The 22,451-nt window shown below is 49.7% G+C and overlaps 1 protein-coding gene across 4 annotated transcripts in view, besides 1 other annotated feature; it reads left to right on the plus strand.

The window, feature by feature from the left end:
* The first annotated feature begins 19 nt into the window (after positions 1-19).
* MEIOSIN (meiosis initiator) overlaps positions 20-22,451 on the plus strand; it is a 31,103-nt gene continuing 8,671 nt past the window's right edge. Inside the window, exons 1-7 of one of the 4 annotated variants that reach the window (NM_001310124.2) lie at positions 20-247; positions 1,958-2,028; positions 6,207-6,311; positions 11,773-11,902; positions 17,256-17,367; positions 20,232-20,369; positions 21,060-21,305. In NM_001310124.2, coding sequence (NP_001297053.1) covers positions 1,958-2,028; positions 6,207-6,311; positions 11,773-11,902; positions 17,256-17,367; positions 20,232-20,369; positions 21,060-21,305 — 802 coding nt within the window. In that variant the 5' untranslated portion in view covers positions 20-247. Of the gene's footprint in view, positions 248-1,219; positions 1,248-1,957; positions 2,029-5,400; positions 5,672-6,206; positions 6,312-11,772; positions 11,903-17,255; positions 17,368-20,231; positions 20,370-21,059; positions 21,306-22,451 lie in introns of those variants that run through there. The other 3 variants (XM_011527571.3, XM_011527574.3, XM_011527573.4) reach the window with 3 other exon arrangements.
* Positions 14,158-14,950: an enhancer, noted in NCBI's record as "H3K27ac-H3K4me1 hESC enhancer chr19:46250835-46251627 (GRCh37/hg19 assembly coordinates)". NCBI's record gives its function as "activates a minimal SCP1, AML or CMV promoter by ChIP-STARR-seq in primed H9 embryonic stem cells {active_cell/tissue: H9 hESC(primed)}" and the evidence as "EXISTENCE:reporter gene assay evidence [ECO:0000049][PMID:30033119]".

A 22,451-nucleotide genomic window follows, 5' to 3' on the forward strand; every position in this document is an offset into this window, starting at 1 on the left:
GGCCTGGCCTCAGGAACGCACTCTTGCTCTGCTCCTCACGCCTCGCGCAGGATCCTCGCGCCGGGAGGATTCGCACCCAACCCCAAGCCCGGTTGGGAACGTGGTGTCCGAGACCGTCTGGGATCCCCGCGCGCACGGCCGGCTTCCCGGGACCCGCGCGAGACGCTGTCTGATCGGGCTCCCTAGAGTGGGGCCCGGAGAAACCAGAACGGCGGGGGCAGCCTCACGCCATTTTGCACGCCCTGAGGCGGGTGCTGGAGGCCAAGGGGAATGGGGCGCGGGGCAGGGGGCCTCCCCCAGCACTAGCTGGGCTTAGGGGAACCCGGGATCCCCACAGGAGCTTCCCTCGGTGGGGGGCTCAGGGGAATAGAACATGCTCTGGGTGCAGGGCCACGGGCGACGGAGTTTGGGTTTGAAGCCGGGGGTCCAGGTTCGAGTTTGAGGAACGGAAGACTCTGTTTGTGTTGGGAATCCGGGCTCTCGAGTTCTGATCTGGGATCTCGGGATTTGTGTCTAGGGGTGACTAGTTCTGGAATCTGAAGAGCTTGAGTTTTGTGACTGGAAGCTTTCTCCTTGGAATCCAGAGATCCCAATTTGGGGATCTGGAAGTCTTAGTTCTGAGTTATGATGTAACATTTTGAGAGTCTGGAGCCTGATTTGGGGCAACTGAAGCCTCAGTATAGATTTAGGGCCTAAATCCCAATGTAGAGTATGAAGCTTTAGGATCTGGAGTCGCAGTTTGAGTCTTTAGAAGCACGTTTTAGGGCCTGGAGTGCCCACATTGAGTATGGGAGCTCCAGTTTTAGGGTCTGGGGTTTCAGAGTAGGACCCACATTCGAGATCTCAGTTTTAGGGTTGGGGCCACAATTTGAGGGACAGTTTGGACGTCTAAGAGGTCAATCTGGAGAAGTGAGATTTGTTTCATAGGGGCCTGGATTTCTTATCTTAGGATATAGGTTCATAGTGTTACAGCTTGCAGTCTGTAATCTTAGTATTAGGATCATATTTGAAGATCAGAAGTTGACAGTTTGAGGGTCTGGGGTATCTCAGTATTAGAATTTAGGGTTTGTAGGTTTGGGAGGGCTCCTTTTTTTTTGTTTTTGAGACAAGGTCTCACTTTGTCATCCAGGCTGGAGTGCAGTAGTGCGATTTTAGCTCACTGCAGCCTTGACCTCCTGGGCTCAAACCATCCCCCCACCTCAGGCTCCCAAGTAGCTGGGACTACAAGCATGTGCCACTATGCCCAGGTAATTTTTTTTTTTTTTTTGTAGAGGTGGAGTTTTGTCATATTGCCAGGCTGGTCTCAAACTCCTGAGATCAAGCAATCCTCCTGCCTTGGCCTCCCAAAGTGCTAGGATTACAGGCGTGAGCCACTGTACCTGGCTTTGGGAGGGCTCCAAAGTGAGGATTTAGGTCCTCATTTTGGGACTCTAAAGTATTAGTTTTAGTGCCTTTTTAGAGGTTTAGGGGTTTGTTTTTGTTTTTGTTTTTTGAGACACAGTCTCACTCTGTTGTCCAGGCTGGAGTGCAGTGGCTTAATCCTGGCTCAGTGCAACCTCCGCCTCCCAGGTTCAAGTGATTCTCCTGCCTCAGCCTCCCAAGTAGCTGGGATTACAGTCGTGCACCACCACGCCCGGCTAATTTTTGTATTTTTAGTAGAGATGGGGTTTCACCATGTTGGCCAGGCTGGTCTCAAACTCCTGACCTCGAGTGATTTGCCTGCCTCGGCCTCCCAGAATGCTGGGATTACAGGTGTGAGCTACCACTTCTGGCCAAGGTTTAGCTGTTTAATTTGGGTCTTTGGGCCCATAATTTGTTGGGGCTAGGGACTCTTATTTTGGGATCTCTGGGTGCTCAAAGGAGCATCATAGGGAAGATGAAGGGTGCCCATCAGGGTTCCTGCCCATCCTTCCTGCAATCCCAGAGGTCACTAATCATTCTTTTTCCCTCTTTGCAGATGTTTGGTTCCAGCAGATACTTGGGTTCCTCTGAACAGCCCAGAGCTAATTCACTGGGTCCCAGTGACAGGTAAGGGCTTGCCCCATCTCCCTTATAGCCCCAGCCACTCTCATTGAATAATAATAACAAAAACATTTGCTGAGCATTTACCGTTTGCTAGACTCTTTGCCAAACATTTTGTTTGTATGATAACTGTTAATCCATACAACAATCTCATGAGGAAGTTGTGTACAAAGATGCCTACCATTTTCCAGATGAGAGTACTCTGAGGTGATCGGCAAAGATCATTGCTTATTTATTTATTTATTTATTTTTGAGACAGGGTTTCACTCCTGTTGCCCAGGCTGGAGTGCAGTGTTGCGATCCCAGCTCACTGCAACCTCCGCCTCCTGAACTCAAGTGATTCTCCTGCCTCAGCCTCCCCAGTAGCTGGGACTACAGGCTCATGCCTCCATGCCTGGCTAATTTTTGTATTTTTTGTAAAGATAGGGTTTTGCCATTTTCCCCAGGCTAGTCTTCAACTCCTGGCTTCAAGTGATCTGCCTGTCTCAGCCTCCCAAAGTGCTGGGATTACAGGTGTAAGCCACCATGCCCAGCCCATTTCTTTTTTTATTTTTAGGGCAAAGATAACTTCTAAGGTCCTTGCAGCCTGTGACATTCTGAGTTTGTTTGTTTTCAGAGTTAGGGTATCACTCTGTTGCCCACGTTAGAGTGCAGTGGTGGCATCATAGCTCACTATAGCCTCGGACTCCTGGGTTTGAGCCTGGGCTTGATCCTCCTGCTTCAGCCTTCCGAACAGCTAAGATTACAGGCACATGCCACCACACCCAGCCAGTTTTTCTATTTGTTGTAGTGACAGGGTCTTGCTATGTTGCACAGGCCTGTCTTGAACTTCTGGCCTCAAGTGATCCTCCTGTCTTATCTTCCCAAAGTGCTGGAATTACTAAGCCACCACGCCCAACTGACATTCTGAGTGTCTTTCTTTCTTTCCTTTTTTTTTAAGACAGAGTCTAACTCTGATGCCCAGGCTGTAGAGTGCAGTGGCGCGATCTTGGTTCACTGCAACCTCTGCCTCCCAGGCTCAAGCGATTCTCCTGCCTCAGCCTCCCAAGTAGCTGGGATTACAGGTGCCCACCACTATGCTCAGCTAATTTTTTTGTGTGTATTTTTAGTAGAGACAGGGTCTCACTGTGTTGGCCAGGCTGGTCTTGGACTCCTGACCTCGCGATCCGCCCGCTGGAGTGCAGTGGCGTCATCTGGGCTCACTGCAAGCTCAACCTCCCGGATTCACGCTATTCTCCTGCCTCAGCCTCCTGAGTAGCTGGGACTACAGGCGCCCACCACCATGCCTGGCTAATTTTTTATATTTTTTTTAGTAGAGATGGGGTTTCACCATGTTAGCCAGGATGGTCTCGATCTCCTGACCTCGTGATCCGCCCACCTCAGCCTCCCAAAGTGCTGGGATTACAGGCGTGAGCCACTGCGCCCAGCCTTTTTTTTTTTTTTTGAGATGGAGTTTCACTCTTGCTGCCCAGGCTGGACTGCAATGGCATGAACTCGGCTCTCTGCAACCTCCGCCTCCCGGGTTCAAGCGATTCTCCTGCCTCAGCCTCCCGAGTAGCTGAGACTACAGGCGCATGCCACCACGCCCAGCAAATTTTTGTATTTTTAGTAGACATAGGGTTTCACCATGTTGTTCAGGCTGGTCTCGAACTCCTGATCTCAGGTGATTCACCCGCCTCGGCCTCCCAAAGTGCTAGGATTACAGGTGTGAGTCAGCAAGCCTGGCTTCTTTCCTTTTTTTTTTTTTTTGAAACAAGGTCTTGCTCTGTCACCTAGGCTGGAATGTGGAATGCAGTGGTGCAATCCCAGCTGACTGCAGCCTCGACCTTCTGGGCTCAAACAATCTTCCCATCTCAGCCCCCTGAGTAGCTGGGACCATAGGCGTGCACCACCACGCCTGGCTAATTTTTGTATTTTTCGTAGAAATGGGTTTTTGCCATGTTGCCGAGGCTGGTCTCAAACTCCTGGGATCCAGTGATCCACCCAGCCTCCCAAAGTGCTGGGGTTACAGGCATGAGCCACCACGCCTGGCTCTTTCTTTTTAGACAGGGTCTTGCTCTGTTCCCCAGGCTGGAGTGCAGTGACACGATCACAGTTTACTGCAGCTTTGACCTCCCAGACTGAAGCAGTCCTCCCACATCAGCCTCCCAAGTATGCAGGACCACAGGCACACGCCACTATGCCCAACTAATTAAAAAAAAAAAAAATTGGCCAGGTGTGGTGGCTCACACCTATAATCTCAGCACTTTGGGAGGCCAAGGTGGGTTGATCACTTGAGGTCAGGAGTTTGAGTCCAGCCTGGCCAACATGGTGAAACTCCATCTCTACTAAAAATACAAAAATTAGCTGGGCATGATATAATCCCAGCTACTTGGGAGGCTGAGACAGGAGAATCGCTTGAACCCAGGAGGCAGAGGTTGCAGTGAGCCGAGATCGCGCCATTGCACTCCAGCCTGGGCAACGAGTGAAACTCTGTCTCAAAAAAAAAAAAAAAATTGTGGACAGGGTCTCACCATGCTGCCTACACTGGTCTGAAACTCCTAGGCTCAAGTGATCTTCCTGCCTCAGCCTCCAAAAGTGCTGGGATTACAGGCGTGAGCCACCATGTCTTTACTTCCTTTCTTTTATTCACGCATTCATTCATCCATCAAGCACTTACCAAGTGTAATGAATCTTATAGAGGGAATTTTCACAGCAGATTGGAGGTTGGATCAGATTTCTCCCTCCCTCCAAAGTCTGGATAAAGAAAAAATAAGGCCAAAGTTCATATTAACCCCTACCATCTCCCCCAGTGACTTTCCATCCAACTATCTCTTCATTAACTCCAAAATTAAGCATCTACGGGGTTATGTCCTGATAAACCCATCATAAACTGAAAATATTGTATGTCAAAAATGCATGGTTGATGGCTCAGGCCTGTAATCCCAACACTTGGCGAAGCCAAGGTGGGCTGATCACTTGAAGTCAGGAGTTTGAGACCAGCCTGGCCAACAGGGCAAAACCCCATCTCTACTAAAGATACAAAATTTAGCCAGGCATGGTGGTGTGTGCCGGTAATCCCAAGCTACTCAGGTGGCTGAAGCAGGAGAATCACTTGAACCTGGGAGGCGGAGGTTGCAGTGAGCCAAGATCGCGCCGCTGCGCTCCAGCAACAGAGCAAGACTCAGTCTAAAAAAAGAAAAAAAAGCATAGCTGATTGGGAGCTGTGGCCCAGTGTTGCTGCCCAGCACAGTAAGAGAAGTATGGCTTCTACTGAATTTGTATGGCTTTCACACCATTGTAAAGTCGAAAAATGTTAAGTCCGACTGTTGTAAGACGAGGACTGTGTGCTTTGTTTAGGTTCTCTACCTAGATACTATGCTCAGAAGAAGCACCATGAAGAAAATGAAGAATGCCTATCCTGCTGCCCATTCCTCCTGGAATTTTAGAGTTGCCACAATTCATACTTTCATCCCCCTTTCTAGATGTGGGGGTCCTTGTATTGATAAAGACTGTTAGTTGCGAAGAACAGAAACCTAGCAAAAACTGGCTTAAGCATAAAAAGGGATTTATTGGATCATTTAAACAAAAAATTCAGGGATGTCGGCCTTGGCTGGTTCCAGGATGGAGGTTAAATGATGTTGCCGGGAATCTGCGTCTCTTGGCTCTGGTATTGTCTGTGTTGGCTTCTGTCTCAAGCAGGTTCTCCCTTTGCTTTATTTATATATTTTATCTTATTGTTTGTTTGTTTGAGATGGAGTCTTGCTCTGTCACCCAGACTGGAGTGCAGTGGCATGATAGCTCAGCGCAACCTCCGCCTCCTGGGTTCAAGGGATTCTCCTGCCTCAGCCTCCCGAGTAGCTGAGATTACAGACATGTGCTACCAGGCCTGGCTAATTTTCTCATAGTTTTAGTGAAAACGGGGTTTCACCATGTTGGTCAGGCTGGTCTCGAACTCCTGACCTCAAATGATCTGCCTGCCTCAACCTCCCAAAGTGCTGGGATTACAGGCGTGAGTCATTGTGCTCAGCTGCAGGTTGTCCCTTTGGAAGGGCAAGATGGTTCCCAGCAGTTCCAGGTCTATATCTTGCCAACTCCATATACCCAGAAGAGAAAACATCTTTCTAAGATTGATTGACTCTGATTGGCCAAACCTAGGATTACCACTCCAACCCTGAACCAATCACTGTGACTATTCTTGGCAGGACCTTGGTTTTGTGCTCCCTAGTGGAAGGGGAAGATAAGGTCAACCCCTCCGAACCACATGGACTGAGAATGGAGGAGAAATGGTTGCTCAAAGGAAAACTGAGGTACTGTTAACAGAAAAGGGGGGATTGGATGTTGGCCAAGCAAAAACATAGCCCATTGTTCAACACCTCTTACCCCTAAAATCATTCTGACAAATGACTGTACACACATGCTTTCTTTCTTCCTTTTTTTTTTTGAGACAGAGCTTTGCTCTTGTTGCCCAAGCTGGAGTGCAGTGGCGCAATCTCGGCTCACTGTAACCTCTGCCTCTAGGGTTTAAGTGATTCTCCTGCCTCAACCTCCCGAGTAGTTGGGATTACAGGCACGTGCCACCACGGCCAGCTAATTTTTTGTATTTTTAGTAGAAACAGGGTTTCACCATGTTAGTCAGGCTGGTCTTGAACTCCTGACCTCAGGTGATCTGCCTGCCTTGGCCTCCCAAGGTGCTGGGATACAGGCGTGAGCCACTGCACCCAGCCCCACACGCTTTCTTGAACTAACATTTCATGAACACTCCCTATGTACCAGGCACTATACGAAACACCTTCCAGATAAGATCAAGGTTTTCCTAGCCACCTCCATTTTGTAAAGGAGGAAGAAACAGGCACAGAGAAGTGAAAGCAGTTGCCCAAAGTCACACAGCAAGCGGAGGAACTAGGATTTGAATCCCAGTCTTTCTGCTTCAAAAACTGGAGCTTATATATCAACCTTTATGCCACCTCCTGGGACTGTCCCCTGCTTTGTCCCACTTTGGGGCAGCTCTTACTCTTACATCCCTACACACTATTAAAACAAATGAAGGCCGGGCACGGAGGCTCACGCCTGTAATCCCAAAACTTTGGGAGGCCAAGGCGGATAGATCACGAGGTCAGGAGATTGAGACCATCCTGGCCAACATGGTGAAACCCCGTCTCTACTAAAAATACAAAAAATTAGCCAGGTGTGGTGGCACATGCCTGTAATCTCAGCTACTCAGGAGGCTGAGGCAGGAGAATCGCTTGAACCCAGGAGACGGAGGTTGCAGTGAGCCGAGATCGTGCCACTGTACTCCAGCCTGGGCAACAAGGCGAGACTCCATCTCAATAATAATAATAATAATAATAATAATAATAATAATAATAATAATAACAATGATAATAAAGTAACTAGGGTATGTTCAGGTTGATTAGCTCAGGGAAAAGGAAACTTGAGAATTAGGTTCATATGCCACTTTAGAAGTCTGAGCAGCTATCCCAAGACCTTTCAGTATTCATTAATTCAATAATTCTTTATTGAGCACCCACTAAGTGTTAGGCATTATTCCAGGACTTAAGGGATATAACCAGCGCAGCATTATGGCTTCTGTGGGCCCTATACAATTTTACCTTCTTGATCCCCTTCTTCCATAGAAAAATATTAACGCTGGGTGCGGTGGCTCACGCCTGTAATCCCAGCACTTTAGGAGGCCAAGGCGGGCAGATCACGAGGTCAGGAGTTCGAGACCAGTCTGGCCAACATGGTGAAACCCCGTCTCTACTAAAAATACAAAAATTGGGAGGCATGGTGGCGGGCACCTGCAATCCCAGCTACTTGGGTTGCTGATGCAGAAGAATCGCTTGAATCTGGGAGGCGGAGATTTCAGTGAGCTGAGATCGCACCACTGTACTCCAGCCTGGACAAGAGCGAGACTCTGTCTCGGGGGAAAAAAAAAAGAAAAATATTAACAATTGTGGTTTATGATAGTATTGATATGAAGACAAGTATACTACAGATGGGGTGATATTTATTTTTTGTTCTAATTTAAAAGGAATTAGAATATTTTCATGAGCCCCTAAAAGTATCATGGGTTCCAAGCACTGTGCTTTCTGCATTTTATGGATAAATCAGCCTGGGATATAGCAATAAATAAGACAAAAATTCTTGCCCTGTGGCGTGTGCCTGTAATCCCAGCTACTTGGGAGGCTGAGGTAGGAGAATCACTCTAGCCCAGGAGGTGGAGGTTGCGGTGAGCCAAGAGCCTGCCACTGCACTCCAGCCTGGGCAACAGAGCAAAACTCTGCCTCAGAAACCAACCAACCAACCAACCAATTCTTGCCCTCATGGAGTTCATATTTATAATTAATAAATTAATGAAAGAAATAAGATTTCACAGCCTGTACAATATAGAGAGACCGCGTCTCCAAAAAAAAATTTATTTTAAAGTTTATTTTATTTTATTTATTATTTATTTATTTATTTTTTGAGACGGAGCTTTTGCTCTTGTTGCCCAGGCTGGAGTGCAATGGCACGATCTCGGTTGCTCACTGCAACCTCCACCTCCTGGGTTCAAGTGATTCTCCTGCCTCAGCCTCCCAAGTAGCTGAGATTACAGGCACCTGCCACCACACCTGGCTAATTTTTGTATTTTTAGTAGAGACAAGATTTCACCATGTTGATCAGGCTGGTCTTGAACTCCTGACCTCAGGTGATCCACCTGCCTTGGCCTCCCAAAGTGCTGGGATTACAGGCGTGAGCCACCACGCCCAGCTTAAAAGTTTTTTGTAGATGCAGGGTCTCACTATGTTGCCCAGGCTGGACTCAAACTCCTGGGCTCAAGGGACCATCCTGCCTTGGCCTCTGAAGTGCTGGGATTACAGGTGTGAGCCACTGCACCCAGCCTTGTCTCTACAAAAAAATTTTAAAAATAGCCTGGCATGGTGGTGCATGCCTAAAGTCCCAGCTACTCGGGAGACTGAAGCAGAAGGATTGCTGGAGCCCAGGAGTTTGAGGTTACAGTGAGCTATGATTGTGCTATTACATATGAGCTTGGGTGACAGAGCAACTCGTTGTCTCTTTAAAAACAAACAAGCAGGCCAGGCGCGGTGGCTCACGCCTGTAATCCTAGCACTTTGGGAGGCCAAGGCGGACAGATCATGAGGTCAGGAGATTGAGACCATCCTGGCTAACACGATGAAACCCCGTCTCCACTAAAAATACAAAAAATTAGCCAGGCGTGGTGTCAGGCACCTGTAGTCCCAGCTACTTGGGAGACTGAGGCAGGAGAACGTGAGGGTGAGGCTGAGGAGGCGTAATCCCGGGAGGCGGAGTTTGCAGAAGCTGAGATCGCGCCACTGCACTCCAGCCTGGGTGACAGAGCAAGACTCTGTCTCAAAACAAACAAACAAAACAAAACAACAACAACAACAACCAGGGCAACAGAACATTCCAAACAGAGAAGGCAGAAATAAAATTGGCAGTTGAGAGAAACAGAAAGAAAACCTATGTGACTGGAGCTGACCTGTTCCCTGAAAACCCAGAGGGCACAGCTGGGATTAGTGGATGCAAATATACAGACTGTGAGGGAAGAAATTGGCTAAAACCCGAACCATCCAGCAAAGAAAAGAGGCAGCTCTGGGAGGTGGTACATGGCTTCTGGAGGGCCCTGAGAGCGGAGCCCAGGTTGTACTTCTTCAGGACTACTGCCCAGACACTGGGGATGCCAAGACATTGGGATTCCCATCCACTCAGTTGCTCCCTTTCTAACCTCTGTGTTTACCCAGAAGGTTCACCCTGTGCTTTGTAAAACCCAGAATAAACACCCAGGGACTATGGTTTATATGAAACCCTCTGAGACGGTCAAATAACACCTTGAACTTTATAAGTAGACCTGGACACTTTTTCTTCCTTGCTTCCTGAGTTGTTTCTTGTCGGGTCTGCCAAGGGCCCCTCTAGAACACATGGGAAATAATGTGATATATATATATTTATTTATTTATCAGGGCTAGACAGGAGTTTAAGCTCAGCCTACTCAATTTATCTCGAAGGATAGAACCCCAACACCCCCTTGGCTCAAAGTTATCGTTTCTACCAGGAGGTAACTTGGGGACTCATCAGTGATTTTTTTTCTTTTTTTGAGACAGAGTTTTGTTCTGTTGCCCAGGTTGGAGTGCAGTGGTGCGATCTTGGCTCACTGCAACCTGTGCCTCCTAGGCTCAAGCAATTCTCCTGCCTCAGCCTCCCGAGTAGCTGGGATTACAGGCACGTGCCACCACACCTGGCTGATTTTTGTATTTTTAGTAGGAACAGGGTTTCGCCATGTTGGCCAGGCTGGCCTTGAACTCCTGGGCCCAAGTCATCTGCCCACTTCAGCTTCCCAAAGTGCTGGGATTACAGGTGTGAGCCACCATGCCCAGCCAACTTTTTATTTTTTCATAAAGGCGAGGTCTCACTTTTTTGCTCAGGCTGGTCTTGAACTCCTGGGCTCAAGTGATCCTCCCACCCTGACCTCCCAAAGTGCTGGGATTACAGATGTGAGCCACCACACTCAGTCAAAAGCAAAGCATGGCCTCTTCATGTATTGGTGACACCACACTTGCCACTTAGCATTTAGATCAATTTCCTTTTACAAGCTTCTTATTTTTACTTTTTTTTTTTTTTTGAGACAGTCTGGCTCTGTCACCCACAATCTCAGCTCACTGCAGCTTCCGCCTCTCAGGTTCAAGCAATTCTCGTGCCTCAGCCTCCTGAGTAGCTGGGATTATAGGCATCATGTCCAGCTAATTTTTGTATTTTTAGTAGAGATGGGTTTTTGCCATGTTGGCCAGGCTGGTCTTGAACTCCTGACCTCAAGTGATCAGCCCACCTCAGCCTCCCAAAGTGCTGGGATGACAGGTGTGAGCCACCATGCCCGGCCTCCTTTTACAAGTTTCCATAACACCAAGCAACACTTTTTTCTTTATCACGGCTAGCTTCATAGACATATGACCTGGGCAGTCACATAGGGCCCTGTGCTTAGGATGGTCCAATGCTTGGTTTGATGCTCTGCTCTCAGCATCTTTTTTTTGTTTTGTTTTGTTTTGTTTTTGAGACGGAGTTTGTTTTGTTTTGTTTTGTTTTGTTTTTCTCCTGCCTCAGCCTCCCCAGTAGCTGGGATTACAGGCGCCTACCACCACGCCTGGCTAATTTTTGTATTTTTATTATTTATTTATTTATTTATTTTGAGACGGAGTCTTACTTTGTCTCCCAGGCTGGAGTGCAGTGATGCAATCTTGGCTCACTGCAACTTCCACCTCCCGGGTTCAAGGGATTCTCCTGCCTCAGCCTCCCAAAGTGCTGGGATGACAGGCATCAGCCACTGCACCCACCCCACATTAGGACCTTAAACTTGATCCTTAACAATGGGATGTCATGGAGAGGTTTGAAGCAAGAGAGTGACGTGGTCAGATTTGTGTTTCAGAAAGGTCACCCTGACTCTAGCAGACAGTAGGGATGGAAGAGGCCAAATGGCAGGGTTGAGTGAACTATCAGGATGTTAACACATGGACTAGGGCAGGGCTGTGGGGTTGAAGAGAAGGTCATGGAAGAGGAGTGGGTAAGATTTGGTGACTGACTGATTAAGGGCTAAGGGAAAGTAACAAGTACGGGTGATGCCTGGGATTCTGTCCTCGGTGTCCAGGGTGGGGTGCGGGCAGCCCTAAAATGAGTAACACAGACAGGAGGTTTGCGGGTTGGATGTGGAATTCGTTTTGGATGTCCTAACCAAAACCAGCTCCTGTCCCCAAACAGGAATCAGAGGAACCAAAACAAGCTCCTGTCCCCAAACAAGAAGCAGAGGAAAAACCACACTAGCAAGCTGCAAGAGTTGGCACTGCTGCTGCCCATAGCCCTGAAGACGGGGACCAAGAAGCTCACAAAGGTACAGGGACTAGAGGAGAGGGGCCAGATTTGGGACGCAGGTCTTTAAATAGCAGCAAATGGGTCACCCTCTCCTGGGAAACCTGGACAGATCCTTTCAGTGGCAGCATTCAAATGGGAATGGTGCTACTCTGAACGGGAATTTCCGGGAGTCTGTGATCCCATAACTAGGTGCCTGGAGGATCCTTTTTTGCAAAGGAGAGAGGAGAAACCGGGCTGGGGAAATAGAGATAGCACAAAGATCATTGTTCCAGGAATCAAATAGCCATGGGTTTGAGCCCTCTAGCTTCACAGCTACAGAACTCTGGGCAGTTTCTCAGGCTACCCAGACTTTCTTTTTTTCTTTGTTCTTTTTTGTTTTTGAGAGTCCTGAGTAGCTGGGACTACAGGCACAGGCCACCACACCCGGCTAATAGTTTTTTTGTATTTTTAGTAGAGACAGGGTTTCACCATATTGGTCAGGCCGGTCTCAAATTCCTGACCTCAGGCGATCCATCCGCCTTGGCCTCCGAAAGTGCTGGGATTACAGGCGTTAGCCACTGTGGCCAGCCAAATTTATTCTCTTATGGTTCTGGAGTTCAGAAGTCCAATATCAGTCTCAGTGGCTTTTTCACTTGTTTGGTTGTTTTGGGGTTTTTAGGTTTTGTTTTGTTTTGTTTTGTTTTTGAGACAGGATCTCACTGTCTCACCCAGGCTACAGTGTAGTGGCTCGACCTCAGCTCACTGCAGCCTCTGCTTCCCAGGCTCAAGCAATCCTCCCACCTCAGCCTCCCGAGTAGCTGAGACTACAGGCTCATGCCACACCTGGCTAATTTTTTGTAGTTTTGGTAGAGACGAGGTTTTACCATGTTGCCCAGGCTAGTCTCAAACTCCTGACCTCAAGTGATCCTCCCACCTTGGCCTCCCAAAGTTCGGGGATTACAGGCATAAGCCACTGCACCCAGCCAGTCTCACTGGTTTAAAGTCAAGTTGTCAGCAGGGTTGGTTCCTCTTAGAAGCTCTAGAGAGTTTGTTTCCTTTCTTTTTGCCAACTTCTGGGGGCTGCCTGCATTCCTTGACCCATCATGGTCCCTCAAAGCCAGCATGGAAGCATCTTCAAATGTCTTTCCTGTCCTACCGCTTCTGTTGTCACATTGCCTTCCCTGCCTTTGACATTCCTACCTCTGTAAGATTATATGTGATTACACTGGGCCCACCCAGATAAACAGGAATAATCAGGCCATCTCAAGATCCTTAACACAGCGGGCTCAGTAGTTTGGGAGGCCGAGGTGGGTGGATCACCTGAGGTCAGGAGTTTGAGACCAGCCTGGCCAACATGGTGAAACCCCGTCTCTACTAAAAATACAACCAATTAGCCAGGAGTGGTGGCGCGTGCCTATAATCCCAGCTACTCAGGAGGCTGAGGCGGGAGATTTGCTTGAACCTGGGAGGCAGAGGTTGCAGTGATCCGAGATCGCGCCATTGCACCCCAGCCTAGGCAACAGAGCAAGACTCTGTCTCAAAAGAAAAAAAAAAAAAAAGATCCTTAACTCAATCATATCTGCAAAGTCCTTTCTTTCTGCCATACAAGGCAACATATTCATAGGTTCTGGGGACTAGGACATGGACATCTTTGGAACTTTGGGGGGATGCATTATACAGTCCACGATGGTGCTAAAAATATTTGAGGAATGTGAGTTTTTGGCATGCATAGGTGCTGGAATAGCCCTTGGGGAGCCAGAGATGACTATGACACAGTCCCTCCCCTCGAGGAATGGCAGTCTTGTCAGGGGACTGGCAACGTTTCATAAATGACCGGATGGCCACATCTCTTGGAATTCTCCCCAGGCCTCAGCCTACTTATTTACCATGTGTCCTCTGCTGTCTTCAGAACCCCTCTTCTCCCACCTCTTCATCCTTCCCTCAGCTGCATCATGGGGTCCTGCTCCACAGACAACCCGCATCCCGGGGCCGTGGGACATGCTCAGTCCAGTGCTCCGCGCCATAGCAGGAGCTGTGAGAATTGCCTCTCCTGTGTTAGAGACTTGGGGTGCAGCTTTGATTCAGAGTGTCCTTCCTCACCACTCTGGCTGGTGAATTGCCCCCTGCCCCGTCTGATCATGTAGGTTCTCCCTCTGACCATGAACACCCCCAGCGTATCACTGCAATTACTTCCTTGTTTCCGACCTCCTTCAGGTGGAGTTCTGCCAGAGCCATAAAGGAGACATCTCTGTCCGCCTTGCCCACAGGGCCTAGCAAGAGCAGAGAGCAGACAGCAGACAGCAGTAACAACCGTTCCCAACTTACTGAGCGTTCCAGGTGTCAGACCTTGAGTGCTAAGTGTCTTAGATACATTTTTCTCATTTAACTCTCCCACAAGGCTTGTGAGAGATGTATGGCTATGCTCATTCTTTGGTCTGAGGAAACTGAAGTGCAGAGAATGGTCACATCGCCCACAGGCACAGAGTTGAGATAGAAAGAGAGACAGAGAGAAAGAGAGAGGGAGGGATTCAGATGTGGCCAGGCACAGTGGCTCACACCTGTAATACCAGCACTTTGGGAGGCTGAAGCAGGCAGATTGCTTGAGATTAGGAGTTCGAGACCAGCCTGGGCAATGTGACGAAAGTCCATCTCTACAAAAAATACAAAAATTAGCCAGCCATGGTCCCCGCTACCCAGGAGGCTGAAGCAGGAGGATAGCTTGAGCCTGGGAAGTGGAGGTTGCAATGAGTCGAGATCATACCACTGCACTCCAGCCTGAGCAACAGAGTAAGACCCTGTCTTTTTTTTTTTTTTGAGACGGAGTCCCGCTCTGTACCCCAGGCTGGAGTGCAGTGGCACCATCTCGGCTCACTGCAAGCTCTGCCTCCTGGGTTCACGCCATTCTCCTGCCTCAGCCTCCTGAGTGGCTGGGACTACAGGTGCCCGCCACCACGCCCGGCCAATTAGTTTTTGTATTTTTAGTAAAGACAGGGTTTCACCGTGTTAGCCAGGATGACCTCGATCTCCTGACTTCGTGATCCACCCGCCTCGGGCTCTGAAAGTGCTGGGATTACAGGCGTGAGCCACCGCGCCTGGCCATGAGACCCCATCTTAAAAGAAATAGAGTCAGATGTATCTCACTCCAAAGGCTCTTGCCTTCAACCATTCTGTCACTCAAGGTTCAATAGATGTTTGTTGAATGACTGAATGAGCTCCCTTTGTTGGGACAGTTACAGGACCTGTTGATCTTACCTTCAGAAGGTCTTTGAGAGTCCAGACTCTGGTGTAGCCCCCAAGCTAACCTTCCTGAAGTTTCAATTACTGAGGCATCTGTCTTGAAATCTGGGATGATGCCCAATTGCTTTCTACATACAACCTTTATACTAGTAATAATAAGTAACATTTATATATTACTTCATGGTTTATAAGGACTTTTTCTTAGCGAGTGCCAACCATATGCTCCAAGCCTGGTATTAGAGATAATAAGCTTAAAAAGACTGAGGCTGGCTGGGTGCAGTGGCTCACACATGTAATCCCAGCACTTTGGGAGGCCGAGGTGGGTGGATCACTTGAGGTCGGTAGTTCGAGACCAACCTGGCCAACATGGTGAAACCTTGTCTCTACTAAAAATACAAAAATTAGCCAAGCGTGGTGGCACATTCCTGTAGCCCCTGCTACTCAGGAGGTTGAGGTGGGAGAATCGCTTGAACCTGGGAGTCAGAGGCTGCAGTGAGCTGAGATCGTACCACTGCACTTCAGACTGGGCAACAGACCGAGACTCCCTCTCAAAAAAAAAAAAAAGACTGAGGCCAGGTGTGGTGGCTCATGCCTGTAATCCCAGCACTTTGGGAGGCCAAGGCGGGTGGATCACTTGAGCCCAGGAGTTTGAGACCAGCCTGAACAACATGGCGAAACCTCATCTCGATAAAAAATACAAAAAATTAGCTGGGCATGGTGGCATGCGCCTGTAGTCCCAGCTACTTGTGGGGCTGAGACAGGAGGATTGCTCGAGCCTAGGAGGTGGAGGTTGAAGTGAGCTGAGATGGTACCACTAAACTCCAGCCTGGCCAACAGAGCAAGAGACCCTGTCTCAAAAAAAAAAAAAAAAAAAAGGCCGAGCGCAGTGGCTCACGCCTGTAATCCCAGCATTTTGGGAGGCTGAGGTGGGCGGATCATGAAGTCAGGAGATTGAGACCATTCTGGCTAACATGGTGAAACCCCGTCTCTACTAAAAAATACAAAAAAATTAGCGAGGCGTGGTGGAGGGCGCCTGTAGTCCCAGCTACTCGCTGAGGCAGGAGAATGGCATGAACCCGGGAGGCGGAGCTTGCAGTGAGCCAAGATTGCGCCACTGCACTCCATCCTGGGCGACAGAACAAGATTCTGTCTCAAAAAAAAAAAAAAAAAAAAGCGCAAAAAAAAAAAACAAAAAAAGACTATTGGCCGGGCGTGGTGGCTCACACCTGGAATCCCAGAACTTTGGGAGACCAAGGCGGGCAGATCACAAGGTCAGGAGTTCGTGACCAGCCTAGCCAGCATGGTGAAACCCCGTCTCTACTAAAAATACAAAACATTAGCTGGGCCTGGTGGCACGCACCTCTAGTCCCAGCTACTCAGGAGGCTGAGGCAGGAGAATTGCTTGAACCTGGCAGGCAGAAGTTGCAGTGAGCTGAGATCGTGCCATTGCACTCCAGCCTGGGCAACATAGCAAGACTCTGTCTCAAAAAAAAAAAAAAAGAAAAAGAAAAAGAAAGAAAGACAGGGTTGAGCACAACAGCCAGGGCTCAAGACAACGTGGGGCTGCTGGGGACCAGAGACACAGAGGCTCCAGGAAGGACCCCATTCCCCACCCACCCCAACAATTCTTCAGTCGGCAGAGACCTTCTTGTTCTGCTATCTAGCCCTCACTGCAGACCAGTGAGACAGGGGCTACAGCTACAGGCTGGAGTGCAGTGGCATGATCTCAGCTCACTGCAACCTTTGCTTCAGGCTGTGTCTCTGGTCCCCAGCAGCCCCACATTGTCTTGAGCCCTGGCTGTTGTGCTCAACCCTGTCTTTCTTTCTTTCTTTTTCTTTTTCTTTTTTTTTTTTTTTTTGAGACAGAGTCTCGCTATGTTGCCCAGGCTGGAGTGCAACGGCGTGATCTTGGCTCACTGCAACCTCCGCCTCACGGGTTCAAGCAATTCTCCTGCCTCAGCCTCTCAAGTAGCTGGCATTACAGGCATGTGCCACCACACCCAGCTAATTTTTTGTATTTTTAGTAGAGACGGGGTTTCACCATGCTGGCCAGGCTGGTCTCGAACTCCTGACCTCATGATCCGCCCACCTCGGCTTCTCAAAGTGCTGTGATTACAGGCGTGAGCCTGGCCAACCCTGTCTTTCTTTTGAGGCAGAAGGAGATTCTGGTGCATGTCCTGCAGTACATTCAGTACCTCCAGAGAAACATCGATGCCGCCAAGGCCTTGTTCAAATGCCACATCACCACTGGGGAAGGTGGACTTGCGGGTAAGTAGTTCAGCCAGTGTTTCCTGGTGCCTGTGATGTTCCAAGTGTTGTTCCAGCCATCAGGGATACTGAGTGACCCTTCTGTCAAGGCCTGGTATAGGGGACAAAGAGAGATATGCAAGATGCCTCAGAGAAGAGGGGCCTTGGAGCTGGGCCTTCAGGACTGTAGGAGATGCAGGGAAGCCCAGCCAGGCAGAAGAAACAGGCCGGGCACAGTGGCTGATGCCTGTACTCCCGGCACTTTGGGAGGCCGAGGCGGGCGGATCGCTTGAGGTCAGGAGTTCGAGACCAGCCTGGCCAACATGGCAAAACCCCGTCTCTACTAAAAATACAAAAATTAGCTGGTGTGGTGGCTGGCGCCTGTAATCCCAGCTACTTGGGAGGTTGAGGCAGGAGAATCACTTGAACCTGGGAGGCGGAGGTTGCTGTGAGCCGAGATCACGCCACTGCACCCTAGCCTGGGCAACAGAGCAAGACTGTGTCTCAAATAATAATAATAATAATAATAATAATAATAATAATAATATATACATAAAATAAAATAAATCTGATCATGACCTTCCCCTGGCATAAAATCCCTCAGTAATTTTCATCTTCTTCACTTCCCTCCATAGCCAGGTGCTGGAAACCATTTGGGATCTCATCCCTGCCTTCCTAGTCCCTGCCAAACCTCCCCAGCCTCATCTCCTACCATTCTGCCAGCGTATTTTATTTATTTATTTGTGCTTTTTGTTTTGTTTTGTTTTTTGTTTTTTGTGTGTTTTTTGAGACGGAGTATCACTCTGTCACCCAGGCTGGAGTGCAGTGGCGTGATCTCTGCTCACTGCGACCTCTGCCTCCCGGGCCTCTGCCAGTATATTTTACACTACAGTAACAGCGACAGCACCCAGCACATCTAGCCTTAGGGGACTGCTATGTTCCAGGTGCTGTGGTATGTTTCTTTCTTTCTTTTTTTTTTTTTGAGGCAGAGTTTAGCTCTTGTTGCGCAGGCTGGAGTGCAGTGGCGTGATCTTGGCTCACCGCAACCTCTGCCTTCCAAGTTCAAGTGATTCTCCTGCCTCAGCCTCCCGAGTAGGTAGGATTACAGGCACTCACCACCACACCCAGCTAATTTTTTTGTATTTTTAGTAGAGACGGTGTTTCACCATATTGGCCAGGCTGGTCTCAAACTCCTGACCTCAGGTGATCCACCCACCTTGGCCTCCCAAAGTGCTGGGATTACAGCTGTGAGCCCCTGCTCCTAGCCGTTTTTTTTTTTTTTTTTTTTTGAGACAAGGTCTCACTCTGTCACCCAGGCTGGAATGCAGTGGCATGATCATGGCTCACTGTAACCTCAAAATCCCAGGACTCAAAACTCCAGGGGTCAAGCAATCCTCCTGCCGCAGACTTCTAAGCAGCTTGTACTACAGGCACGTGCCACCAATATCCAGATAATTTTCTTTTTTTTGAGATGGAGTTTCTCTCTGTCGCCCAGACTAGAGTGCAGTGGCGTGATCTCAGCTCACTGCAAGCTCTGCCTCCCAGGTTCAAGCCATTCTCCTGCCTCAGCCTCCCAAGTAGCTGGGACTACAGGCGCCCGCCACCACACCCAGCTAATTTTTATATTTTTAGTAGAGACAGGATTTTGCCGTGGTCGCCAAGCTGGTATCACCTCAAGTGATCCACCCATCTCAGCCTCCTAAAGTGCTGGGATGACAGATGTGAGCCATCGTGCCTGGCTCTGGCTAATATTTTTGTTTGTTTTTTTGTAGAGACAGAGTCTCACTGTGTTGCCCAAGCTGGTCTTAAACCCCTGGGCTTAAGCAATTCTCCCGCCTTGGCCTCCCAAAGTGCTGGGATTATAGGAGTGGGCCACCAAGCCTGACTTGTTTCTATGTATTAACTCACATTTAATCGTCAGGACAAATACCGAAGGGAAAAGCTAATGTGGTCCTGTTTTGCAGGTGATGGAACTGAAGCCCAGAGAGGTTAAGGTCACAGAGATGAGCCTGAGTCAGGGCCTGGCTCAGAGCCCACACACATCATCTCCATGCCACGCAGACCTCCAATCACACCCAATGACTTGCCTGTCCCCAGACACCCCGCGCGTGTCTTCTCATGCCTGCAAGCTCTTACTCAGATAGTTTCTTCTTCTTTTTTTTTTTTTTTTTTTCTGAGGCGGAGTCTCGCTCTTTTCGCCCAGGCTGGAGTGAAGTGGCGAAATTTCGGATCACTGCAAGCTCCACCCCCTGGGTTCAAGCGATTCTCCTGCCTCAGCCTCCCAAGTAACTGGGATTACAGGCACCCGCCACCACACCCAGCTAATTTTTGTCCCTGACATGTAGTGTTGAGGACTGGTCATGAAGTGAGAGACTGGAGTCAGGGAGATGAGGAAAGACACTGTTCGGAGTGATCTAGACGGGACAATTAGGCCCAAGCTAGCGCTGTAGATGAGAATGTGGATAGAAGTGAGTAAACCTAGAAGATGTTAATGAGGAAGAATCGAGAGGCCAGAGGGAAAGGCCCCAGTGACCTTGAGGGGGTCGGCTAGGAGACCCTCACTGTGTTGAGGAAGGCGGGAGGAGGTACTGGTGTGGGCGGGGAGAGGGTGAAGCATCCTCAAGGTGCCCAGTCTGGGGAAGTGTTGATTCCATTCTCCCACTGAGCCAAGGCCCAAAACAGCCCTGAAGAAACCTGAGTTCTTGCCCTCTACTTTCACAGTCCTGACTGAGCGGCCTTGGATAAGCCCTCAGTTTCCACACTGTAAAGTCAGCCTGGGGGCCCACCCTGACCCGGGACTGAGGAGCATTGTCTGGAAGGCAGGAACTGCAGTTGGATGCAGATGGGGTGGGGGATCTGAGCTGTTTCCCTCTCCATCCCTGCAGGGCTGGGTCAGAAACCAGCCTGGGGCCCAGCCAGGCGGAGGAGACACTCTACCCCCTCCAGCTCCCCAAGCTCTCAGAAGTCCTGTCTCCAGGGGGCGTGCCAGAAGCCTCGGAAGAAGAAGCTGACCCAGGCATCAGGTACAAGCTGTCACTGGAGGCAGAACTAGAAGCCCAGGTCACCCAGGAGCAGGGCTCCTTCTCCAGGGATGTCCTTACTCTGGGGGCCTTCTCAGCACCCTGTGCCGGGGTTCAACTCCCAGCTCCTCCTTGTATTAGCACTGAGGCCTCACACCCGGAAACTTGGGGTTCACTGGTCTATGGCAGAACCTGGGCATCAGTATTTTTTTTTTGAGAGAGACTCTCACTCTGTCCACCAGGCTGGAGTACAGTGACACAGCTCACTGCCACCTCTGCCTCCCAGGTTGAAACGATTCTCCTGCCTCAGCCTCATGAGTAGCTGGGATTACAGGCATGTGCCACCATGCTCAGCTAATTTTTGTATTTTTAGTAGAGACAGGGTTTCGCCATGTTGGCCAGGCTGGTCTTGAACTCCTGACCTCAAGTAATCTGCCTGCCTCGGCCTCCCAAAGCGCTGGGATTACAAGCATGAGCCACTGCGCCTGGCCAGTGTTTTTTAAAGGTCGCAAGATGATTCTGACAGGTGGACAGGGGTTGAACAAAGAGGCCTGTGATTGAGGATCTGGGCATTCCCATACCAGGCCAGGCATAGCTTTGACACTGACAAGGATGTTTCCCACCTGAACCCTATTCTGGTGACAGGCAGGTGACTCCCAGGCCCCTCTGACACCTGAACCTCTGCTCCCCCAGAAAGCCAGACTCGGACCCCGAAGCCTCGCCGCTCTCTGGCCCTGAACAAGCCTGAGAAGCTGGTGGCCCCATCCCCAGACCAGAAAGGAAGTGGCACAGGGGGGACCACTACCCCTCCAAGGTGCCCTGACTCCTGCGGTCACCCGAGGCCTGCATCATCCTCACCTCCAGGTGACAGAAAAGGAGGACAGTCCCAGCTGACGCTGTTGGATCTGGCCGAGGACACCATCCACTGTGACATCTCAAGTGGGTCTCTTTCCTCACTCTGAACTTAGTCTTTCAGTAAGATGCCACTCTGGGGGCACCTGCTGTGTCCCAGACACAGTACCCGTAGTGGGGGCTGCAGCAGTGAATAGGAAACACCGCCTCTTACTTCTCAAGCTTGTGGCCTTGCTCTGGTGGTCTTCATCTCAGGCTGTGTCGTGGCTGTAATGGGGGGATGAGATCAGCGTCATTGTCTTGTGTGGGCTTCCCATCACAGAACCAGGGAGGAGGGCAGGGCCTCCGCCTCAGGCCTCACTTGGCTCTCCCATGCCCCAGTCACTGCACTGGTTTGGAAAACGTGTGGTGATGCTTTCAAGCAGAGAGCTAGGCCAGAGGGAGGGAGGTCGGAGCTCGAGGCTTTGAGGCCTCAAGTCATCTCGTTCCTCTATTTGTTCATTCAGCCTTTTCTTTTTTTTTTTTTTTTTGAGATGGAGTCTTGCTCTGTCGCCCAGGCTGGAGTGCAGTGGTACAATCTCGGCTCACTGCAACCTCTGCCTCCTGGATTCAAGCGACTCTCCTGCCTCAGTCTCACGAGTAGCTGGGATTACAGGCGCGCACCACCACGCCCAGCTAATTTTTGTATTTTTAGTACAAACAGGGTTTTGCCATATTGACCAGGCTGGTCTTGAACTCCTGATCTCAGGTGATCGCCCACCTTGGCCTCCCAAAGTGCTGGGATTACAGGTGTGAGGCACTGTGCCGGGCCCATTAGAGTTTTTTGTTTGTTTTGAGACAAAGTCTTGCTCTGTCGCCCATGCTGGAGTGCAGTGGTGCACTCTCGGCTACTGCAACCTCTACCTCCCAGGTTCAAACAATTCTCTGCCTCAGCCTCCTGAGTAGCTGGGACAGGCGCCCGCACCCATGCCCGGCTAATTTTTGTATTTTTAGTAGAGACGGGGTTTCACCGTGTTGGCCAGGCTGGTCTTGAACTCCTGACCTCGTGATCCACCGCCTCAGCCTCCCAAAGTGCAGGGGTTACAGGTATGAGCCACGGTGCCCAGCCCCCATTACAGCTTCTGATAGGGATGTGGGATTCAAAAAACCCAGGGGTGATTTGGGGCACCCCTCAGCCTCACACCAACGTGACACCCTGCATCCTGAGGTTTGGGCTAGGATTGGGGAGTGAGA

The sequence above is a fragment of the Homo sapiens genome, chromosome 19 (assembly GCF_000001405.40).
Source record: "Homo sapiens chromosome 19, GRCh38.p14 Primary Assembly".
In the NCBI taxonomy this organism is placed as follows: domain Eukaryota; kingdom Metazoa; phylum Chordata; class Mammalia; order Primates; family Hominidae; genus Homo; species Homo sapiens.